General features: G+C 40.5%; 1 protein-coding gene across 23 annotated transcripts in view, besides 1 other annotated feature; it reads left to right on the plus strand.

Moving 5' to 3' along the window:
- Positions 1-340: an enhancer, noted in NCBI's record as "active region_2829". NCBI's record gives its function as "activates an Ori minimal core promoter by ATAC-STARR-seq in GM12878 lymphoblastoid cells {active_cell/tissue: GM12878}" and the evidence as "EXISTENCE:reporter gene assay evidence [ECO:0000049][PMID:35858748]".
- Positions 87-24,093, plus strand: part of EXO1 (exonuclease 1) — a 41,954-nt gene continuing 17,947 nt past the window's right edge. For 2 of the 23 annotated variants that reach the window (XM_047434104.1, XM_047434112.1), the window contains exons 1-11: positions 87-301; positions 832-1,128; positions 1,210-1,317; positions 2,510-2,687; positions 4,393-4,512; positions 5,459-5,582; positions 9,446-9,583; positions 10,607-10,819; positions 12,618-12,805; positions 13,507-13,603; positions 18,931-19,156. In XM_047434104.1, coding sequence (XP_047290060.1) covers positions 2,527-2,687; positions 4,393-4,512; positions 5,459-5,582; positions 9,446-9,583; positions 10,607-10,819; positions 12,618-12,805; positions 13,507-13,603; positions 18,931-19,156 — 1,267 coding nt within the window. In that variant the 5' untranslated portion in view covers positions 87-301; positions 832-1,128; positions 1,210-1,317; positions 2,510-2,526. The other 21 variants (XM_006711840.3, XM_011544323.3, NM_130398.4 and 18 more) reach the window with 11 other exon arrangements.

A 24,093-nucleotide genomic window follows, 5' to 3' on the forward strand; every position in this document is an offset into this window, starting at 1 on the left:
AGGAGGGAACTACAACGCCCAGCAGCCCCGGCGGGTGTAAACACTCCCAACTTCCGAGGCGGTGCTCACCATCGGCCATCAGCGCCAGTGCCACTCGCGCCCTCAAGAAGCCGCACGGAGTTCGGGCCGGCAGCAGCGGCTGCAGTCGTATGGCAGTGAGCCGCTGTCTACCCAGCGAGACGGAGAGCTCAGGACGCAACCCTATGAGTTGGAAGCCGCAGGAGGCGGAACCGGGTTGCGGGATACGCGTTGACGTCACATCCTCTGGGCGGGGCCGCAAGGAACCCGCGCAAATTGAAAGGTCAGCCTTTCGCGCGCTGTGTAGGCAAGTTACCCGTGTTCTGCGTTGCCGGCCGTGGGTGCTCTGGCCACAGTGAGTTAGGGGCGTCGGAGCGGGTTTCTCCAACCGCAATCGGCTCCGCTCAAGGGGAGGAGGAGAGTCCCTTCTCGGAAGGTGAGAGGAGCGGGCTGTGCGGAGGCTAATGGGTGGGTTCCCTTGGGGGTCGACCTGCGCGTCACCTCCGACCCTCCTCTCGGGATTCGGGTCTTCCAGGAAGGGAAGGAGAGGGTCTGGCGTGATCTTCCCAACCCAACAGCGGAGCCCTTAGCCTGAGTGGAGTATGTGTTTTGTTCCGAGGGGACGTCTGGCAACCAGAGGTCTGCAGTTCAGTGAACGGAGGGAGATAAGAGAGCAGACGATTCCGGGCTGGAGCAGGCGCCAGGGTTGCCAGACTTACCTCATTTTTCCGCAGAAGCTGGCAGTCCAGGTTTTACATGCAATCTCTCCACCTTTAAATGTTGACAAGTACATTTTCCCATAATATTTTGCAGGCCTAAGGAAACGTGTCGTCTGGAATGGGCTTGGGGGCCACGCCTGCACATCTCCGCGAGACAGAGGGATAAAGTGAAGATGGTGCTGTTATTGTTACCTCGAGTGCCACATGCGACCTCTGAGATATGTACACAGTCATTCTTACTATCGCACTCAGCCATTCTTACTACGCTAAAGAAGAAATAATTATTCGAGGATATTTGCCTGGCCCAGAAGAAACTTATGTAAATTTCATGAACTATTATATCCGTTTTCCTCGGAGTGAGAGAAAACTCTTTTTAGATATCATCTGAGAGGTAAGAGACTGTTTTTCTGAAACTGTGGCTTGAGGACCACCTGCATCCAGATTAACTGCTTTGTTTAAAATTCATTCACAGCAGAACTAGTGAATCCCAGTCACTGAGTGGAGTTGAGAGTCTAAGAACCTCTGAAATTTGAGAACTGCTGGACCAGAGCCTTTAGAGCTCTGATAAGGTGTCAACAGGGTAAAGCTGCCTCCTGATCCTGTACTTTCTTTCTTCCTTTCCTTCCAAACTTAACGTTTGATAGGAGAGATTTGTATTATGAAATGCTAAGCAACTGCTCAGTGCCCATTACTGACTTTTTATTGTAGAGTGGGGGGAGGTCGTTTCATCAGAAAGGGTTGTGACAGTTCCAGAATCTCTGTATAGAAAGGGCTTAGGGGGCTGCAACCGGAATGGAAGGGGGTGGAAAGTTAAAGCATTTGTCTTGAAGCTGTATTTGCATAGCAGACGCAGTTTCACAGTTCTTTAGGGTAGCTTTCAGAGAGGCTGATGGAGTTGCCCCTGGGCGCCACCACTGTTTATTACCAGAATGTTCGTGCTTAGAATAATGCGTTCTAATAGCAGTGAATTTCAGTCCTAAAAAAGTACAGGATCATTTCTGTAATTCTTTTTGAATTTTTCCTTTGTTTTTTAATTGAAATACTTACCTTCCTACAAACTGTTTTGAGTTTCTACTCCTATTTGAATTTGCACGTTGACCCTTATGATTAATGCCCTTTGTAGAGGCAATGCGATGCCATCGCATGCATGGTTTTGTTTGTGCCTGGCTCCTTGAAGCATGTGTCAGGAGTGAAAGTGCAAAAGCACTTTGGAAAGACTAAACAAACAATAAGCAACAGTCAAGTGGCATTAGAGGTAGTATTAGTGATTAATGTAAATTCTACCCTATGGAAATTGTTTGATAGGGAGGAGCCCAGCTAAAATATTAAAGAGCAGTGATTCTTGAATATCTGAACAATTTCTGGCCGGGCGCGGTGGCTCACGCCTGTAATCCCAGCACTTTGGGAGGCCGAGGCGGGCGGATCACGAGTTCAGGAGATCGAGACCATCCTGGCTAACATGGTGAAACCCCGTCTCTACTAAAAATACAAAAAATTAGCCGGGCGCGGTGGCGGGCGCCTGTAGTCCCAGCTACTGGGAAGGCTGAGGCAGGAGAATGGCGTGAACCCGGGAGGCGGAGCTTGCAGTGAGCCGATATAGGCCACTGCAGTCCCTCCTGGGCGAAAGAGCGAGACTCCGTCTCAAAAAAAAAAAAAAACAACAAACCAATTTCTGCATTGGACTCCAAGCTTTCTCTTCATTTGTCTAAGATGTTTTAATAAATGTATTTTTCTTTAAATATTACTGTTCTCCCTGTCTCTTTTCATATCAGGTAGTTAATTTGGCACCATGGGGATACAGGGATTGCTACAATTTATCAAAGAAGCTTCAGAACCCATCCATGTGAGGAAGTATAAAGGGCAGGTAGTAGCTGTGGATACATATTGCTGGCTTCACAAAGGAGCTATTGCTTGTGCTGAAAAACTAGCCAAAGGTGAACCTACTGATAGGTAAGTCTGGACCTTATGTTAATTCTTTGACAATTAAGAATGAGACCTACAGTGCCTTTTTTTCTCCCCCAGAAACGGATTGTTTTCACTCAATGCCAGAACTTATCAGGAAGTAAAAGTTGTATGTTTTAGAATATTCCCAAATCAGGGATGACTTCCTTCTGTGATAATAGGCCTAGTTTTCTTTCTTTATAATAAGCCAGAGTATCAAGACACTGATGGACAAAGACTATTAATATCTCCTTTATTCTTTTTTTTTTTTTTTTTTTTTTTAGATGGAATCTCTAGCTCAGGCTGGAGTGCAGTGGCACAATCTTGGCTCACTGCAACCTCCGCCTCCCAGGTTCAAGCAATTCTCCTGTCTCAGCCTCCCAAGTAGCTGGGATTACAGGTGCACACCACCATACCCGGCTAATTTTTGTATATTTATTAGAGACAGGGTTTCACCATGTTGGCCAGGCAGGTCTCAAACTCCTCAAGTGATCCGCCTGCTTTGGCCTCCCAAAGTGCTGAGATTACAGGCGTGAGCCACCATGCCTGGCCCAATTCTTAACCTAAGATAAATTTTTTAACAAATGCTTTGAAAATCCGTGATGATTTCTGACTCCCACATTCTTGGGTACAGAAAACATACTGCTAATCCTGGTTAGCAAAAAAACAAATGTGTTGTAAAATTCATTATAATTTCATATTTGCTTTCTCCTGAATTTTGCTTTATGATCAGCAGGTCCCAATCATTGTTCCATACCAATGCAAGTTCACTGTCACTGATCTACAACACATAGAAAAAATAAGGATAACAATGTAGTGAGTCTTTCATCAAGATGACATATTTAAAAGGTCATCTTTTTTTTCTTTATTTTAGCTGCTAAGTTTGCGTTATGCAAAAAGATTAAAGATTGTTTTCCCATTCCTGTTTTTGAGCTAAAATGTCCTTTTCTTTATAAAATGATAGAAGTTGTAAATGCAGTTGTTTTTGTCACAATACCTAATGTAATACCTGACCCTTGATTGGATCCTGGATTTGGAAAAAATAGTAGCAGTGGTGTCCTGGAGCCAATTCATATGAGCTCTTTATACACCATGTCTTCTCAGCTCAGCATTCATTTGAGTTCAAGTAGGTAGCTCATCTGCCATTGAGAAATATTTATCTCAGGGAAATCAGGCACCTCTTCCCGCAGAACTGGTTGTTAAACATTTACCAGGACACCACTGAATATAAGAAACATTGTTGAGACAAGTGTACCAATTATAATATAAACTGAGTATTAGATAATATTATGTTACTATTAAATTACTTAGCTGTGATATGGTGTCGTTGGAAGAATCCAGTGTTTATTGTACTATTCTTTCAACTTTTCAATAGATTTGAAATTTTTTAACATAAAATGGGGGGGAAAGACCAGATTTGAAACCAAAGATGTCAGAATTAGAAGGGATATCAAAGCTCTTTAATTCACAGATAAGGAAACCAAGGCTTGGAGGGTCAAGTAGTTCACCAGACATCACATGGCTCGTAAGTATCCAAGGCAGGATTTGAATCCAAGTCTAGTAAGTTAGAGTTCCAATTCCTATGAAAACATCTGCTTAAAATAACAAAATAAAAAACCTTCTCTTTCCATAGTTTTCTCATCTGGCCTAAAATAGAGCAGAAGTATTACCTTAAGAAAGGTGAAGCACTGAATGTTTTTCTTTTTTTCCATAGGTATGTAGGATTTTGTATGAAATTTGTAAATATGTTACTATCTCATGGGATCAAGCCTATTCTCGTATTTGATGGATGTACTTTACCTTCTAAAAAGGAAGTAGAGAGATCTAGAAGAGAGTAAGTTAATTCTCTACTTAATCTCTAACTTCATTGCACTAAGGTCAGACACTGTAGTCTATATGATACCAATTTTTAAAATTTTAAGCCAGGCTCAGTGGCTTGCACCTGTTGTCCTAGGTACTCGGGAGGTTGAGGCAAGAGGATCACTTGAGCCCAGGAGTTCAGCACCTTAGTACCCTATGATCATCGCTGTGAAGAGCCACTGTACTCCAGCCTGGGCAACATAGTGAGACCCCGTCACTAACAATTTTATCTTTATTTTTTGACAGTCTCACTCTGTCGCCCAGTCTAGAGTGCAGTGGTATAATCTTGGCTCGCTGGAAACTCCACCTCCCGGATTCAAGCAATTCTTGTGCCTCAGCCTCCCGAGTAGCTGGGACTACAGGCACGTGCCACCACACCCGGCTAATTTTTGTGTTTTTAGTAGAGATGGGGTTTTGCCCTGTTGGCCAGGCTGGTCTCAAACTCCTGGCCTCAAGTGATCTGCCCGCCTCAGCCTCCTAAAGTGCTGGAATTACAGGCATGAGCCACTGTGCCTGGCCTAAAAAAAAATTAATAAATAAAATTTTAATTTGTTGAGGCTTATTTTATAGCCTAGTATGTGAACAGATTTCCTTAAATGTTATGTATCTGCTACATTATCACTTTTGTTTAAAAGTATCTTCGTTACTACATTTTCTTTGACAAAAAGAATTGCTGTGGAAAAGCCTAATGGTAATCTTGTGTGTGTGTGTGTGCATATAATCATTCTAAGTCACTTGTTCTTTTTGCCTTAGAAGCCTAAAGCATCTGGGTTAATGTTCTCAAGGGCCTGGTGTGTACTTTCTAATGAGTCAAAAACTTTTTTCAGTTCTAGGAAAGCTTCTTGAATTACAGTTCTGTTACAGTTTCTTGAGTCAGCCTCTTAAATGTTTTATATTTAAAAAATGTTCTTCCCTTGCAGAAGACGACAAGCCAATCTTCTTAAGGGAAAGCAACTTCTTCGTGAGGGGAAAGTCTCGGAAGCTCGAGAGTGTTTCACCCGGTCTATCAATATCACACATGCCATGGCCCACAAAGTAATTAAAGTAAGACAAAGGGGCAGATGGGCAAGTTCACCAAAGCTAGTTACAACTTGTTTATTGATGGGAGAGGAAGAAAATCAAGGGTGGAAAATTGTTCTAGGCCTAACCTCAAGTAAAGGGCAGATGTCAGAAGGAGAAGGGAACAGCATCACTAGATAGAGAAGACTTCAGCAATTTCCAAGGAGAAATCCTAAGGCATAAGTAAGGCTCTCTCTTTTAAGTCATGTTATTCCATAGCAATGGAAGGAACAGGGCCAGGCACGGTGGCTCACACCAGTAATCCCAGCAGTTTGGGACGCTGAGGCAGGAGGGTCATTTGAGCTCAGGAATTTGAGACCATCCCGGGTAACATAATGAGACCCTGTCTCTATTAAAACTTAAAAAAATGAAGAGATGGAAGGAACAAATTCCTGGAGGCATCGGTCTCACCCAACTCTCCTACAGTCTTCAACACTTACTGTAACCGGCACTCTTGAATGACAGATCTGTGATGTAGCTTCGTTGCCCCAGGCACCCTACAGACTTCTGTTCCCTTTCACCTCCTCCTTGCAGCAGCTTCTTTCCTTATTCCTGTAAATCTTAGTGTCAAGGTGCCCACATTCCCAGCCCTCACTTTCCCCTTTTTAGAGCCTGCTTGGTTAAGGTGTTGTGGTTTTTTTGTTCGTTTGTTTGTTTTGAGGCGGAGTTTCACTCTTGTTGCCCAGGCTGGAGTGCAATGGCACGATGTGGGCTCACTGCAACCTCTGCCTCCCGGGTTAAAGCGATTCTCCTGCCTCAGCCTCCCAAGTAGCTGGGATTACAGGCATGTGCCACCACGCCCGGCTACTTTTGTATTTTTAGTAGAGATGGGGTTTCTCCATATTGGTCACGCTGGGCTCGAACTCCCAATCTCAGGTGATCTGCCCACCTTGGCCTCCCAAAGTGCTCGGATTACAGGTGTGAGCCACCGTACCTGGCCTGTTAAAGGTATGATGGTAAAGGTGAAGTCAGCTTTTTCTAGCTTACAGTTCTGTCATCCAGTTCCTGAGCTAAAATAGGCGCTACACTTCTGATTTTGGCTTTGTCATTTGAGTCTCTGGCTCTTTTCTGTATGGGTCAAGCTAGAAGGAAACGATGCGATGCAGGACAGAGCGTGAAGTATAAAGAAATGTGTGCTCTGTGTAGTCAGGAGAAGAGAGGCTGCATTGTGTGCGGAAGTAGAGGAGAAACCCTGATTGGACACAAATAGTGGTGTAAAAGTGTGTCCAGAATTGGTGGGTTCTTGGCCTCACTGACTTCAAGAATGAAGCCGCAGACCCTCGCGGTGAGTGTTACAGCTCTTAAGGTGGCGTGTCTGGAGTTTATTCCTTCTGATGTTAGGATGTGTTCGGAGTTTCTTCCTTCTGGTGGGTTCATGGTCTCGCTGGCTCAGAAGTGAAGCTGCAGACCTTTGCGGTGAGTGTTACAGCTCTTAAGGCAGCGCGTCTGGAGTTGTTCGTTCCTCCCTGGGGGCTCGCGGTCTTGCTGGCTTTAGGAGTGAAGCTGCAGACCTTTGCGGTGAGTGTTACAGCTCATAAAAGCAGCGTGGACCCAAAGAGTGAGCAGTAGCAAGATGTATTGCAAAGAGCGAAAGAACAAAGCTTCCATGGTGTGGAAGGGGACCTAAGTGGGTTGCCACTGCTGGCTGGGGCAGCCAGCTTTTATTCTCTTATCTGGCCCCACCCACATCCTGCTGATTGGTAGAACCGAGTGGTCTGTTTTGACAGGGTGCTGATTGGTGCGTTTACAATCCCTGAGCTGGACACAAAGATTCTCCACTGTCCCCATCAGATTAGTTAGATACAGTGTCTACACAAAGGTTCTCCAAGGCCCCACCAGAGCAGCTAGATACAGAGTGTCTATTGGTGCATTCACAAACCCTGAGCTAGACACAGGGTGCTGATTGGTGTGTTTACAAACCTTGAGCTAGATACAGAGTGCCGATTGGTGTATTTACAATCCCTGAGCTAGACGTAAAGATTCTCCAAGGCCCCACCAGACTCAGGAGCCCAGCTGGCTTCACCCAGTGGATCCCGCACGGGGCTGCAGGTGAAGCTGCCTGTCAGTCCTGCGCCGTCTGCCCGCACTCCTCAGCCCTTGGGTGGTGGATGAGACTGGGCGCCGTGGAGCAGGGGGTGGTGCTCGTTGGGGAGGCTCGGGCGGCACAGGAGCCCACGGAGGGGGTGGGAGGCTCAGGCATGGCGGGCTGCAGTCCCGAGTCCTGCCCCGCAGGAAGGCAGCTAAGGCCCCGCGAGAAATAGAGCGCAGCGCCGGTGGGCCGGCACTGCTGGGGGACCCAGTACATCCTCCGCAGCCGCTGGCCCGGGTGCTAAGCCCTCATTGCCTGGGGCCGACAGGGCCGGCCGGCTGCTCTGAGTGCGGGGCCGCCAAGCCCACGCCCACCCGGAACTCCAGCTGGCCCGCAAGCACCGCGCGCAGCCCCAGTTCTCGCTGGCGCCTCTCCCTCCACACCTCCCTGTAAGCTGAGGGAGTGGGCTCCGGCCTTGGCCAGCCCAGAAAGGGGCTCCCACAGAGCAGCGGTGGGCTGAAGGGCTCAAGTGCCGCCAAAGTGGGAGCCCAGGCAGAGGAGGCGCCGAGAGCGAGGGAGGGCTATGAGTACTGCCAGCACGCTGTCACTTCTCAAAAGGATGAGAGTAGGACTATTGCTGGACCAAAAAAGGAAAAAAAATGAGAAAAATAGCAAATTGTTACCAAAATTGATAGCAGCAGGATCTTGATACCTCTTTCCTCTTTTTTTCTTTTTTTCTTTTTTTTTTTTTAACTTCCCAAAGCCTGTCTTCAGGCCTTGGGAACCATTTTCCCATAGTTTAGAACATGGAAGTTCCAGTTCCAGCTGCCTAGATTTTGACACAGCGGCTATGATAGGGGCTGTTTTTCTTGGCAAGTTTATTTTAAAAGTATTTTCTCATAATGCATTGGTTTAAATATAGTGCTATAGCCTATAATATATATGTAAGATACATTATTAGAGGAGAGTTATGTATGTGTGTATATATACGTGTGTGTGTATATGTATACACACATATACCTACGTATATATTTTCCCCCCAAGACATTGCTGGATATGGTCTATAATTTTATCAATACTGTGTCAGTACATTGACTTTCGTAGCTTGACAGGACAACCTGTTATTTTTATGGGGAAGATATATTCAAAACTCCAAACAAATGTATATTTTCGGAACATAGCCATTCTTAAGATGGAAGTTTTCTATAATTTAAAATAAGTGGGCCAGGCACAATGGCTGAACGCTTACAATGCCAACACTTTGGGAAGCTGAAGCGAGTGGATCACTTGAGTCCAGGAGTTTGAGACCAGCCTAGACAACATGGCAAAACCTTGTCTCTACAAAAAATACAAAAAAATTAGTTGGGCATGGTGGCATGCACCTGTAGTCCCACCTACTCGGGAGGCTGAGGTGGGAAGATCACCTGAGCCCAGAGCCCAGGAGGTCGAAGCTGCAGTGTGCCCTGCCGGCTGGCACCACTGCCACTCCAGCCTGGGTGACAGAGCCAGACCCTGTCTCCAAAAAATAAAATGATTACTTTTGTAACTTGTAGGATTCTTTTTTCCTCTGGCTGTGTAGCAGTATTTCTTTTCTCCAAATTTTATAAGTTGATTTTTTAAAAATGTCTTAATGGCTATATAATTAGTTCAACATATACTAAAACTTACAGTAGAAAAACTCTACTTCAAAGGAAATGATTTCTCAAAGTAATATTAGCATGTGCCTGCTGAGGCTAGTAATAAAGTGGGTTTGAAACAGGAAGTTGTTTAGTACTTTCCAGATGCCGTGCTAGAGATTCACTGTGATTCTCTCTTCTAGGCTGCCCGGTCTCAGGGGGTAGATTGCCTCGTGGCTCCCTATGAAGCTGATGCGCAGTTGGCCTATCTTAACAAAGCGGGAATTGTGCAAGCCATAATTACAGAGGACTCGGATCTCCTAGCTTTTGGCTGTAAAAAGGTACTCACCTCTGACTACTATATATTACTTTTCTATGTAGATAGTAGTGTAAATCAAGGAGCTGAAATTTTTCCTGTCCAGGAAATTATGATAATTTATAATATTTATAAAATTTATAATATTTATAAAATATTACAAGGTAAATTATTGTATTTAATAGATATTTGCAACTGACATCTATTTTTATAATGTTAATAATTATTTAAAATGAAAAGAAGGGTTTTGCTGCTTGATGTTTGTGTAATGTGGATACTTTTTCAAAGTAAGCCCTTAAGGTTGGAGGGGTTTGTTATTGTTTTATGCAGATTCTTTAGTAGAATGTGGACGTACCAGTTTTATTTTTTAATAATGACAACATATGCTTTATATTTCTTGATTAGGTTAGGTATACTAACTTATGTACTAAAGGGTTGCCATGCAGTTATTTAGAATTATGTATAAAACTATTTCATGGAAAACTTTATTTAGGGGAGAATTAAGATACAAAACTACAGGATGTTCTCATTTTTGTTAATGCCTATATTTATGACTAGAAGGGTCTCTATCAAAAGGTTAATACTAGGTTACAGTGATAAATGAGGGAATAGGGATGACTTGTTTTCTTCCTGAATTTCTATATTTTCCAAATTTTCTACAATAAACATGAATTGCTTCAATAATAAGGAAAAAGATTACTTAAAAGGTACAAGTGACAGAGAAAGAGAAAATGTTTTTCGTATGCATTACTGTTTGATTATCATGACAACCCTGTAACACAAGTAGGAAATAAAGAGATGCAAAAAGAGCTTGCTTTATACCAGAATTGTGACAGTTGAGTCCTAGCTGTATAGCCTTGTCTAGTCATATCCTATGCTTCAGCATACTTTATTTGTAAACTTAGTAATCATCAGCCTGTCTATCTATGTCTCCTGTCTTTCAGTGTTATGGTGAAGAACAAGAAAGATTTCTTAAAATTATTGCAGTGGATTAGATAATGACAAAAGTGGCCCTTCTAGGTATTAACAATTTCCCTTCCTTTTGAAGGTAATTTTAAAGATGGACCAGTTTGGAAATGGACTTGAAATTGATCAAGCTCGGCTAGGAATGTGCAGACAGCTTGGGGATGTATTCACGGAAGAGAAGTTTCGTTACATGTGTATTCTTTCAGGTTGTGACTACCTGTCATCACTGCGTGGGATTGGATTAGCAAAGGCATGCAAAGTCCTAAGACTAGCCAATAATCCAGATATAGTAAAGGTAAGAGTGATTTGCTAAGTGTCATATTCAATTTCTGAAGCATTTCCTTAATAAAATAATAAATCATAATATGGATTTAAATATTCTGTTATGCGAATAACCTATATTATATTATTAAAAGGAGCAAATGACTGAGGCACTAGAACTTTGCCTTAGCAACTAACATATATTGGGAAAATCATGTTTTCTGCAATTGGCAAAAAAGTAGTGATTTTTAAAACAAAGACTAGTATAAAGAGGCTCAAGGAGAAAATATTCTAGGGTAAAATTAAACTCGGAGTCTTTTGACTTCTGTGCTATAACTCTATAGTAGTGGTTCTCAAACTGTTTGGTCGCAGGATCCCTTTACACTCCTCAAGCTCCTTTATGGTAATATTTTTTGTTTATGTAGGCGATAGCTATTGATATTTACTGAATTAAAAATTAAAACAAAAATTTAAATGTTTATCAATTCACTTAAACTTTATAATAAACTCATTACATGTTAGCATAAATAGCATGCTTTTATGAAAAATAATCATTTTTTAAAACAAAAATTATGAGAGAGAGGAATCATACATTTATGCAAATCTCTTTAATGTGGCCTAATAGAAGACAGCTGTGTTCGTATACAAGTTGAACATCCCTAATCCAAAAATCTGAAATGTTCAAAAATCCAAAACTTTTTGAGTCCCGGCAGGCAAGTGAAAAATTCCACACCTGATCTCATGTGAAGAGTACACAAAATAATTAAAAATACTGTATAAAATTACCTTCAGTCTATGTGTGTAAGGCTTATATGAAACATAAATTGAGTTTTTTTTCTTCTTCACCCTCTTGCTGTCAGTGTGTGGAAACGTAAATGGATTTTATGTTTAGACTTGGGCCCCATCCCTAAGTTATCTCATAACGTGTATATGCAAATATTCCAAAATCTGAAAAAATTCAAAATCTGAAACACTTCTGGTGCCAAGCATTTTGGATAATGTGTACCCAACCTGTATCTGCTGCCTTATTAAGCCTCATTTGATACCATGTATCATATATCATCTGGAAAATTCTGAGACTCTGGACATTGCTACTTTGTAGTTTGTCTTAAAAAATAAACATCAAAGAAGCTCATTTTCCCCCTTGGATATTCTCTAAACCCTTAACAGTTTGCAGAGCAGAAATTTCATTTTTCTATTTCCAGGAGTATAAGGCCTGAGTCCTCAGGACTAAGAGTGATGTCATGTAATGGAAAGATCTCTAGGTTGGAAGATAGTGTCCCAGGTGGGAATAGGACCACGTGCCTTAACTAGCCTGTGACTCCAGGATCCGTTTGGTTCTCTGGGCCTTCCCTTTTTCATCTATGAATTTACTATGCAATGTTTAGGATCCTTTCCAGCTTTAAGCATCCATGACTCTCACAGAAATCAGAATGTCAACTTGGTTTAAAAATATGATCTAGAAATATTTGCATTTTTTTAATTCTCAGATTTTGGATGTTCTTTTTTTTTCCTTTCTTGATAAAAAGGACTTTGAAGATGAATGGATAATGTATCTCAAAGTTACACCTAGAAGCACAAACTTGATGTACTATATAACTGTATTTTTTTATCCTTCAAATTAGTAATAGAAAAACCAAAGAAAATACTAGTTATGAGACTTAGAATTTTAAGTGATGTAACATGGTTGTGTTAGCTGGTAGAATTTTTTAATGTAGATGAAAGCAGTTAATGTTTCAATCCCTCTTTATGAATGTAAATCAATCAGCCTTGAGGATAATATGTTCCCTGTTCTTTAGTTGCAGATAAAATATTTTTGCATGCATTGTTAGGTTATCAAGAAAATTGGACATTATCTCAAGATGAATATCACGGTACCAGAGGATTACATCAACGGGTTTATTCGGGCCAACAATACCTTCCTCTATCAGCTAGTTTTTGATCCCATCAAAAGGAAACTTATTCCTCTGAACGCCTATGAAGATGATGTTGATCCTGAAACACTAAGCTACGCTGGGCAGTATCCTTTCTGAAACAGAATGGTAGAATTTGTGCATTTTTCTTCAATATTTTTATGGTGATTTTTTTGTGAGGCATTTAGTAAAAAGCTTGCACATTATTTTTTGCTCTCTTTTTTATAGTGAAATCTGTATATTGTTCATTTAAATTACCATGCTAGTGAAAATTGAGAACAACTTTTTGTTTATAAACCCGAGGCTCATCCACTATGCATCCTGATTACTTAGATTGACTGACAGTAGCATGCACAGGGTCCGTCACTTACGGTACACATTCCAAAGGTGGCTCTTGAGAGGACCTCCTCGTGGCAAGCAAGCTCGACTTATCAGGAAGAGCATTCTGGGCATTTGAGTGCATCAGGAGAGGATGCCCTTCCCATAGCCACTGGCCATGTACATGCAGGCTGATGCAGAGCCCTGAGTCACTTAGGTGGTGGCTAGGACTTTCCCCTCTGTTTCCCTTAAAGGCAGGGAGTCAGTGATGGCCTGGGCCCTCGTCAGAAGACACCAACTCCTGCAGAGACAGATAGAGACTAGCAAACTGTGTCTGCTTTCAGTAATGCTGATGTATAAAGTAAGGAGACTCCATTTAAGTCATAAACCTATGGATTTTCGTGACAATAGAAAACATTTTTCCATCTTAGTATAATATCATTTGGTTGGTTGTTAATAAATACATTTTTCCTTAATCTTGCTAATCTAGATATGTTGATGATTCCATAGCTCTTCAAATAGCACTTGGAAATAAAGATATAAATACTTTTGAACAGATCGATGACTACAATCCAGACACTGCTATGGTAACGTTTTGATGACCACCCTATGAAAACACGTTTTAGTTATGTCCCGAGCTGTGATTAAAGGCAAATCTTCATACACTAAGCTTCTTTTAAGCGTTTCTATATCCAGGCTCTGTGCAGAATGTACATTAAAAACAACTTGATCCTAGAGAAATTACATGTATTAGAGCATAGGTATATTGGTTAATTTTTTAAAATTAAGAAGTGACTGTTATTTATTATCAAACCCTTATCCTTGAGCATTTCATTTGAATATACCAAGCATTTGATGCCTTTTTTTCTCATCTCACTCCGTTCGGCTTCTGTGGCATTTGGCATCATTGAAGACCCAAGCCTAGGAATGCTACGGGAGTTAAAGCTGTTTTTTCACTCATGCACAATTTAACAAATATTTAATGCACGCCCCTGCTGTTTCTTTAAACAATTTGCTGTTTTCTTTTATTTTTCTTTTTTGAGACAGAGTTTCATTCTTGTTGCCCAGGCTGGAGTGCAATGGTGCGATCTCAGCTCACCACAACCTCCGCCTCCCAGGTTCGAGCAATTCTCCTGCCTCAGCCTCCTGGGTAGCTAGGATTACAGGCATGCACCACCACGCCCGGCTAATTTTGTATTTTTAGTAGAGACAGGATTTCTGCATGTTGGCCAGGCTGGTCTGGAACTCCCAACCTCGGGTGATCTGCCCACCTCGGCCTCCCAAAGCGCTGGGATTACAGGCGTGAGCCACCACTCCTAGCCGCGATTTGCTGTTTTCTTCTGCTTCTTCAGTATTGTATGTATTCCTTAAGATACTGTCTCCCATCATTGTCTTTCTCTTTGTATTTCTGTTTATCCTCTGTTCTCTTTTCTGTTTACATTTCTTCCTTAGGTAAGTCCTTAGGGCTTTAATCCCATTTACGTAAAGAACTCACATCTCCATCTTTACTCCAGTCTCTCGCCTGTGCACCAACCACAGAATTCTCACTGTCTCTTGCGTCTCTGATTTCCTGTAGCCTCCAAGTCTATTTATAGGCAAAACTAAACTCTTCATGTTTTTAATCAACTTTTAATCACATTTCTCTTTTATTTCCTACTTAGCACTTATTACTGTATAACATGCTTCTATTCTTTTCTGATTCTTTCCAATAGAATGTGGTCTTCATAAAGGCAGAACTTGGTGATCCTCACTGCTGTATGATATTTACTATGTTTATATGTTGAGTGAATGAGTGTTAGCCACAGGTCTCTTTTGTTCTCACACTGGAAAACTTGGAAATAAACTTTGGCTTCCATTTCGTTGCTACATCCTCTTGCCTCTTTGAGTTGTCCTTCTGGTTAACATTTTCTTCTTTTCCCAAGCTTCCAGTTTAATTCTTGCTCACTAATTTATTCCTTTACTAAACATTTATCAAGCACTGAAACAATGTAATTAGGTTAGCTAGGGTTCTGGAATATAAAGAAAAATAAGAAATACAGGAAAAGTAAGATCCTTGCCTGTCAAATGCCCATTGCCTAAATAGGAAGGAGAAGGGATTCTATAGAAAGAAATGCGGTAAGTGCTACGCTAAAGAGGTATTCCAGGCTCTGTGGAAATAAAAAGCATGTCCCTCACTCCACCTAAGAGAATGCTTCCTAATAATAATGGCAAACATTTTCTGAGCATTTGCTACTTTCCAGGTGCTCTTTTAAGCACCTTAGACATAGTAAGTCATTTACTCTTCAGAAAGCCTCTGAAGTCAGCACCATTCTCATTTTACAGATGAGGAAACAATTAGAGGACACTTAAGTAACTTTTCCAGCTGACCATTTTCGTAAATAGGGGAGCTGTGATTCCAAGCCAAGTTCTCTACTGTCTGCTGAAAGAGAAACTGATGTGTATCCTCAGTTTGCAAGGATTAGTAGAGTTTTTCAAGATGGGTGATTCCAGGCTAAAAAAAAAAAAAACAAAAAAAGCGTATGTAGAAAAAAGTGATATATTAAGGGAACTCTTAGATTGTTCATTATGGATGGGCTAAGAATATCTTAGTGTTTACCATGTAAAGGAACCAGATCTTGAGAAAAAAAGAAGTGAGCCTGGAAAAGATGACCACTAACAAACTGGTGATCCATTCAGCATGGAAAAGTAACCATTACTGTAAGCTGAAATAAGCCAAGCCTACCAAGAGAGCACAAATCTATAACGACCCTAAAAATGAACTTTATCAGCTTCAGTGATGTAAACCTTACACTCAGGTTGCTATTCCCCTATTTTCTAACCTTGCTCCATGTAATACGGTAGCCACTAGCCATGTGTGGCTATTTAAATTTGTTAAAATTAAATACAATTGCTATTTTACTTCCTTAGTTATAGTAGCCAGCTTTCAAGTGCTTAGTGGTTAGTGGCTAACATAGTGGACAGCACAGAGCTTTTCTATCAGTGCAGGAAATTCTGCTGAATTCTTTACTTCTACTATCATATTTTTATATCTAGGGACTCTTTAATTGTACTTTTTTTTGAAGATTTAGATGTCATCTCTTATCTTTCTCAGAATATGATAATTTTTTGAACGTTTTCTTCCGCTCTCTGTAACTGCTGTGTACCTTTTTCCTGTGTTGATATTTTCTCCCTCATGGTGGTAACTTCTGGCCAGTCATATTTGAAGGGGCCCCGAAAAGCTCATGGGGAACATTGTGTGAATGAGTGGGGCTTATGATGTTGGACTTCATTCTTGGATGATGTGGTTGGTAACACATTGGATTTGATTTGTGAATTCTCCAATGTTGGAATGTTCTCTGCACAGTTACATTTTTCCAAAAAGAGATGTCTGCTTAGGGTATCTAAACTTTGGCTGTCTGTATTTTGAAAGCAGGATAGGGAAAGTGAGTTGGGGCAGGCCAGGAAAGGGTAGCATGGTTCCTTGCCATTCAATATTTAGCCTTTTGTTTCATCTCTGTTTTCAGACAAATGAATCTATCTTCAGAAATGCCTGCTATGTCTGTTACTCTTTGTGGGTTTCAAAAGTTCAATTGTTCTGGTTCTGAAGGCAGGTAGATGTTTGTTGACTGTATAGTCAGGTTGGAGATGGGGACACAGGGTCAAATAATTCTCTCTTTCGTTAGTCATTCCCCCACCAGGGGCTTCTGTAATTCCAAGACTTTAATTCTTGAGCCTTTCTCCAGGTTTCTGTAGGTGGAATTGGCTTCTCTTTGATATTCTCTTCTGCAGACAAAGTCTTTTAATTTCTTCCATCTATGTTCTATCTTCACCGTGGTTTAGAAGTCACAGATTATCTCCTAATTTTTTTGCAGGTTAATTTTGTGTTTCTTATTGTTTTGAGGAATGATTATGGAAAGAAGGAGACTGAAAAGTGCTATCTTTACACAGCTGAACTATTGACAGTATTTATCATTTCTTTCTTTCTTTTTTTTTTTTTTTAAATTTGAGACAGGGTCTCTTTCTCTGTCCTCCAGGCTGGAGTGCAGTGGCACCATCAGAGCTCCTGGGCTCAAGCGATCTTCAGTAACTGGCATCAAGCCTCTTGAGTAGCTGGAACTACAGGCACATGCCACCATGCCTGGCTAATTTTGTGTGTGTGGGGGGGGGGTCTCACTATGTTGCCCAGGCTAGTCTTGAACTCCTGGCCTGAAGCAGTCATTCTGCCTTGGCCTCCAAAACTTCTGAGGTTACACATGTGGAGCCACCACACCTGGCCACAGCATTATATATATATATATATATTTTTTGACTTGAATATCTCTTTTTTTTTTTTTTTGAACAGAATCTCTCTCTCTTGCCCAGGCTGGCACGCGGTGGCATGATTTTAGCTCACTGCAACGTCTGCCTCCGAGTTTCAAGTGGTTCTCCTGCCTCAGGCTCCCAACTAGCTGGAATTACATGCATGTGCCACCACGCCCGGCTGATTTTTGTATTTTAGTAGAGATGGGGTTTCATCATATTGGTCAGGCTGGTCTCAAACTCCTGACCTCAGGTGATCCACCTGCCTCAGCCTCCCAAAGTGCTGGGATTACAGGTGTGAGCCACCATGCCTGGCCTATAATTTCATTAAGAATGATTCTTAAGCTTTTCCTTTGTCTCAGAAACTCAAAAATAGTTGACAGTGTTGAGTATGTCCCATTACCAATTGTAATGTTATGGAATGCTAAGATGGCCATCCTTCATCAGCTCAAATTCCTGTCAGAATTTTGTCCTTCTCATAGAGAAATTTCTATAGGAACCATAATTGTACACCAAATGAGTTATTTTTATTTATCTAAAATTTATTTAGTCTGGTTTTCTACTTGTCTATTTCTCTTTCTTATTTAGTAAAACCATCAGTGGGATCTAATGCCATGAGCCATACTGATAAAGCTATCTTTTTATATTCGTTCCCTCAATTAAATTACCTTCCTTATTAATTCTCAAAGGGTATTCTGAATAATGTCACCGGTTTTATTTATTTTTATTTTTGTCCTTTCTTTAAGTGAAAGGCTTTGATTAGATTCTGAGTTCATGTGGGATTTTTGTCAGGTGGGATTGTAATGATTTTTTTTGTGTCTTTGCTAATTTTTTCCCTTTGGCTGTCCTTCTCTGTTAGAATATCATTGACATCCTCTTAGCAGATCATTGTCTTCCAAAATTTGTAGTAATTGTGAATAACTTATATTAGCATTAAAAGTGATTGCTTTCCTTTTTTGTTTGTTTGTTTTTGAGACGGAGTCTCCCTCGGCTCACTGCAACCTCTGCCTCCTGGGTTCAAGTGATTCTCCTGCCTCAACCTCCCAAGTAGCTGGGATTACAGGCACACGCCACCACACCTGGCTAATTTTTGTACTTTTAGTAGTGGCAGGGTTTCACCATGTTGGCAAGGCTGGTCTCGAGCTCCTGACCTCAAGTGATCCGCCTGCCTCAGCCTCCCAAATTGCTGGGATTATAGGCGTGAGCCACCGTGCCTGGCTGCTTTCCATTTAAAAGACACCGTTTTCCTGACCACATTTCTTCAGTTGTGGTCTTATTTCTTGCACCATTTGTATTACGAAGATTTTTATTTATTTATTTATTTATTTACTTTTAATCTTTTTTTTCTACAGCTGCTAGCAACTCTTGATTTTTTTTTTTTTTTTTTTTAGAAATGAGCTAACAAAGTTGCTTGACTCTCATCAGAAGAAAAACAGGCCTAGGAATATAAGACACATTTAATGGAAAAGTATAGGACCAGCAAAGTAGGAAATGTTATTCAAGGACAGCTGTTTCATCAACAGCTATTGTTTTTAAGGGTAACTTAAGATGTTTATTTATAATTTATGTTGATACAGAAGGAAATAAATTGATTATTTTCTTTCTGCAAATAATCTTTTTCCTTTTCCTTTTCTAGCCTGCCCATTCAAGAAGTCATAGTTGGGATGACAAAACATGTCAAAAGTCAGCTAATGTTAGCAGCATTTGGCATAGGAATTACTCTCCCAGACCAGAGTCGGGTACTGTTTCAGATGCCCCACAATTGAAGGAAAATCCAAGTACTGTGGGAGTGGAACGAGTGATTAGTACTAAAGGGTTAAATCTCCCAAGGAAATCATCCATTGTGAAAAGACCAAGAAGTGGTACGTATTTCAGTTTTGCAAAATGCTGGTGAATATTGGTCATATTTAAAGAAATCATTGCCCAACGCAAAGTCGCGAAGATTTTCTCCTGTTTTCTCCTAGAAGTTTTATAGTTGTATTAGTCCATTTTCACCCTGCTGATAAACACATACCTGAGACTGGGCAATTTACAAAAGAAAGAGGTTTAATGGACGCACAGTTCCATGTAGCTGGGGAGGCCTCACAATTATGGTGGAAGGTGAAAGGCACTTCTCACATGGTAGCAAACGAGAAGAATGAGAGCCAAGTGAAAGGGTTTTCCCTTATAAAACCATCAGATCTCATGAGACTTATTCACTACTATAAGAACAGTATGGGGGAAACGGCCACCATGATTCAGTTATCTCCCACCAGGTCCCTCCCACAACACATAGGAATTATGGGAGATACAATTCAAGATGAGATTTGGGTGGGGACACAGCCAAACATTATCATTAGTTTTAGCTCTTACATTTTACAGTTTTAGCCTGTGAGCCATTTTGAGTTAGTTTTTTTAATACGATGTGATGTAAGGATTATGGCTTTTTTTTTTAATCTTGTATATATGGCTGTCCAATTGTTCCAGCACCCTTTGTTAAAAAGTTTTCCTTTCCCCATTTAATTGCCTTGGCACAGCTGTTTAAAATCAGCTGACCACATATATGTGGATCTTTTTCTGAACTCTGTTATTCTATACCATTGCTCTCCTTACTTATCTTTACATCAGACACATTCTTGATTACTGTGGCTTTATAGAAAATCTTGAAGCGGGGCAGTGTAAGTCTCAAGTTAGTTTTCTTTTGAAAAGTTGTTTTGGCTATTCTGTGTTTTTCACGTTTCCATGTACATTTTAGAATTTAGCTTTTTAATTTCTAAAAAAAAAAAGGTCAGGCATGGTGGTTTGCACCTACAACTGCAACGTTTTGGGAGGCCAAGGCAGGTGGATTGCTTGAGCCTAGGAGTTCAAGACCAGGCTTGGCAACACACTGAGACCCTGTCTCCACAAAAAAAATTTTTAAGGCCGGGTGCGGTGGCTCACACCTATAATCCCAGCACTTTGGGAGGCCGAGGCAGGCAGATCACTTGAGGTCAGGTGCTCCAGACCAGCCTGGCCAACATGGCAAAACCCCATCTCTATTAAAAATACAAAAAATTAGCCAGGCATGGTGGCACACATTTGTAATCCCAGCTACTTGTGAGGCTGAGACAGGGGAATCACTTGAACCTGGAAGGCAGAGGTTGCAGTGAGCGGAGATCACGCAGTGCACTCCAGCCTGGGCGCCAGAGAAAGAATCCATCTCAAAAAAAAAAAAAAAAAAAAAAAATTAAGAAAGCTGTCAGCTGGTTATTCTCCAAAGCTGCAGCTTCTCTGCTCAAAGGGTCTTACTAGTTCAGAATACATTATCGTAAAACAAAAAATAAATACAAAAGAAATTTTTTAAACATTAGTCAAATGTGGTGACGTGTGTCTGTAGTCCCATCTATTCAGGAGGCTGAGGTGGGAGGATCGCTCGAGCCTCAGAGTTGGAGGCTGCAGTGAGCCATGGCCACATCACTGCGCCCCAGCCTGAGTGACAGAACAATACCCTGTCTCAAATAAAAAGTAAAAAGTCTATTGAGAGTTAGTTAAATCCATACATCAATTTGGAGAAAGTGGACATTTTAACAATACTGAGTTTTCTGATTCATTCATTTAAGTCTTTAATGCTTTGTAGCTTTCATTGTACAGATCTTAACATATCTGTTGTCAAATTATCTTTATATTTCGATTTTTGATGCTGCTGTAAATAGTATTTTCAGTTTTGTTTTCTAGTTGTTCATTGATGGTATATAGAAATACCATTGATTTTTGTACATTAATCATATATTTGCAACCTTGCTCACGTCACGTATTAGTTCTAGTATCTCTTTTGTGGACTATGTAGGATTTTCTATATAAATGACTGTGTCACCTATGAATAAAGACAATCTTGCTTCTCCTTTTCCAGTTTAAATACCTTTTATTTCTTTTTCTTAGTATAAGAATCTAAGCTTGTTTTCTTTTGAACTGCCTGATTTCAAGATTATACTGCCTGACTTCAAGATTTCCTATGAGCCACAGTGTGTGATGTAACAGTGTATCTGATGTAAAGATAGGTAAGGAGAGCAATGGTGCAGAATAATAGAGTTCAGAAAAAGATCCACATATATGTGGTCAGCTGATTTTGAACAGATGTGCCAAGACAATTAAATGGGGAAGGAAACTAGAATCTGTAGTACAATATTGAACAGAAGTGCTGAGAGGAATATACTAGGTATTGGGGAAACGTGGGAATTTTTTCACCATAGAGGATGTTTAAAATGAAAAGAATGATTATAATTGCTTCCTTCTCTCTTAACTTCCTTCCCTCAGACATCTACATCGGTGAATGAAATAGCAACAATAAAAATAAAACAAAGACTTGCAAATTTTAGTTCATGCTTTTATTTTTCAAATTTAAGCATAGATTATACATATTCGGCCGAAATATCCTGATTCCTTATGAACCTAAATGATTTTCATGATAATTATCTCTGAACCTTTGTTTCTTCATATGAAATAAAAGGTTTTTGTGTATGTTATATAAGATAATATATACTTGTTATATAAGAAGTACAGTGTACATTCATCTTCCTTCCTTCCTTCCCTCCCTCCCTCCTTCCTTCCTTCCTTCCCTCCCTCCCTCCTTCCTTCCTTCCTTCCTTCCCTCCCTCCCTCCCTCCTTCCTTCCTTCCTTTTTTGAGACTGTGTCACTGTGTCACCCAGGCTGGAGGGCAGTGGCGTGTTCTTGGCTCACTGCAGCCTCCATCTCCTGGGTTTGAGGAATTCTCTGCCTCAGCCTCCCGAGTAGCTGGGATACAGGCGTCCACTACCACACCTGGCTAATTTTTGTATTTTTAGTAGAGACGGGGTTTCACCATGTTGGCCAGGCTGGTCTTGAACTCCTGACCTCGTGATCCACCCGTCTGGGCCTCCCAAAGTGCTGGGAATACAGGTGTGAGCCACTGCGCCTGGCCTGTACATGTTCTTTCATTTTCTTCTGCTACAATCAAGACACGCTGTCCATTTTATGTAGCTAGCTCACTGTCAGCAAGTTTGCGAGTTCTTTATGTCAGACTAAGTCTACTTTTCTATAACTACAACTTATCAATAGGTTTTGTCCCCTTTCTATACACACAAACACAAAAACAAAACAAAAGAACTAGAGTAAGTTTAATTCCTATTTCATGTACCAGCCCTTCAGATGATTTAAAGATAGCCATTGTGACACTCCTAAATTTCTCTTCCAGGCTATTATGTTCCTTGGCCATTCAGGTTGTGCTCTGGATGTAATATAGGTTTTTAAGAATTGTCTAGTTGTTACAGTGAGTATGATTATTGAAATGTGATCTGCTTACCACAGAAGAAATATTTAGAATTGTGGCACTGTTTCAGTCCTGTGCTTTTATTATTGCAAACTAAGATTGCATTCACATTCTTGCAATCTGGCATTTTGCTGGAATTTGCTGAGTTGATAATTGATATTTGCCAGTTGCTGTTAAGCCAGGTATAGTTACATTTTAAACTTAAATGTGGGTTAACTCATTCCTCTTACAATAATCTTAATTCATTTTAGTTCATTGTTCTGCCTGTTAATTTTTTTGTTCGAATCTTTGTATTTTCTAATAAATGCATATTATGTATGTCATCTGGAAATTGATGAGTCTTAAAGTTTTGGTTACAGTACGTTTGCTTATATAATGTTTAACTGAATCAGAGCAAGTACAGAAATCTGGAGTATATGAGACAGACTTCCTTTTGACTAACAGTTGCCAGTAGTAGTCTTTTAGGCCTGCGCAATTGCTGCAAATCCCCATAACTAATATACAGTAGATATGGCTTTGCATTGTTGGCTAGGATGATATGAGAGACACTCAAATGTCTTGCCAAATTCTAGATATGCTTAATTTATGGAGTCCCCAAATAACTATGCTAATAACCTTATTGAGAAAAAAAAAATGAGGTTAATCTGGTGTGGCTTCTGAAAGCCTTGTTGGGGACCCTGGAACACTTGTTTTTCTTCTTCTGCAAGGACTCACAATTCCCTGCATAATAAACAGATTTAACTTTTGCTGGGGATCAACATCTAATTTGCTGATACAGCTTTTTAAAAATCTGTGCCTTTTAAAAATTTGAGACATCTCGTTTCTGGTATTTTGGTAACCCCAACCTATCTTACCAACTTCACAAAGATTATAGTAGTGTGCACTTACACCTCTGTGGAGAAGGAGCTGTTCAGACTCAGAATTAGTCAAAGTAATTCAAAGAACCTTAGTGCTGTCTCTATGTACTTACCTGTCTCAGATTTTAAACTTTTGTTATTATTTAGTCTTATGATTTATTTTAATACCACAGAATACATTTGACACACAGCAATCTTCTTGGGCCTCATAGTGAAGTAATAACGATCAGAGCTACAGCACAAATTACTTACGACTATATGACATTCACAATATACATCAAAACCCAGAACACATAAACCATGTGTATCAATAGCTGCTGGTTTTATTGGAACATTTTAACGATTGATCATTAACCATATATTTACATATAAATTTTCCTGGAGATTTTTTTATATTCAAAATTAGACCCTTAGTATAATGAATACATCGCCACACAGGATTGATTGTGCTCTGAAATTTTGATTTGGGTAATTTTAACATGAAATTGTATAAACAACTGATATTAAATCTTAAACTAATGTGTGAAATTATAAAATAGACCTAAGGGAGTTTTTTTGAATCATCCTTATCCTTATGTTTTCTTTTCTGAGGCATAGTTTTTTTTTTTTTTTTTTAAAGTCCTTATTTTTAGGACAATGGGATATAAACTGAAGTTAAGGCCAAATCTCTAAGTACAG

This window comes from Homo sapiens, chromosome 1 (assembly GCF_000001405.40).
Source record: "Homo sapiens chromosome 1, GRCh38.p14 Primary Assembly".
Classification (NCBI taxonomy): Eukaryota; Metazoa; Chordata; class Mammalia; order Primates; family Hominidae; genus Homo; species Homo sapiens.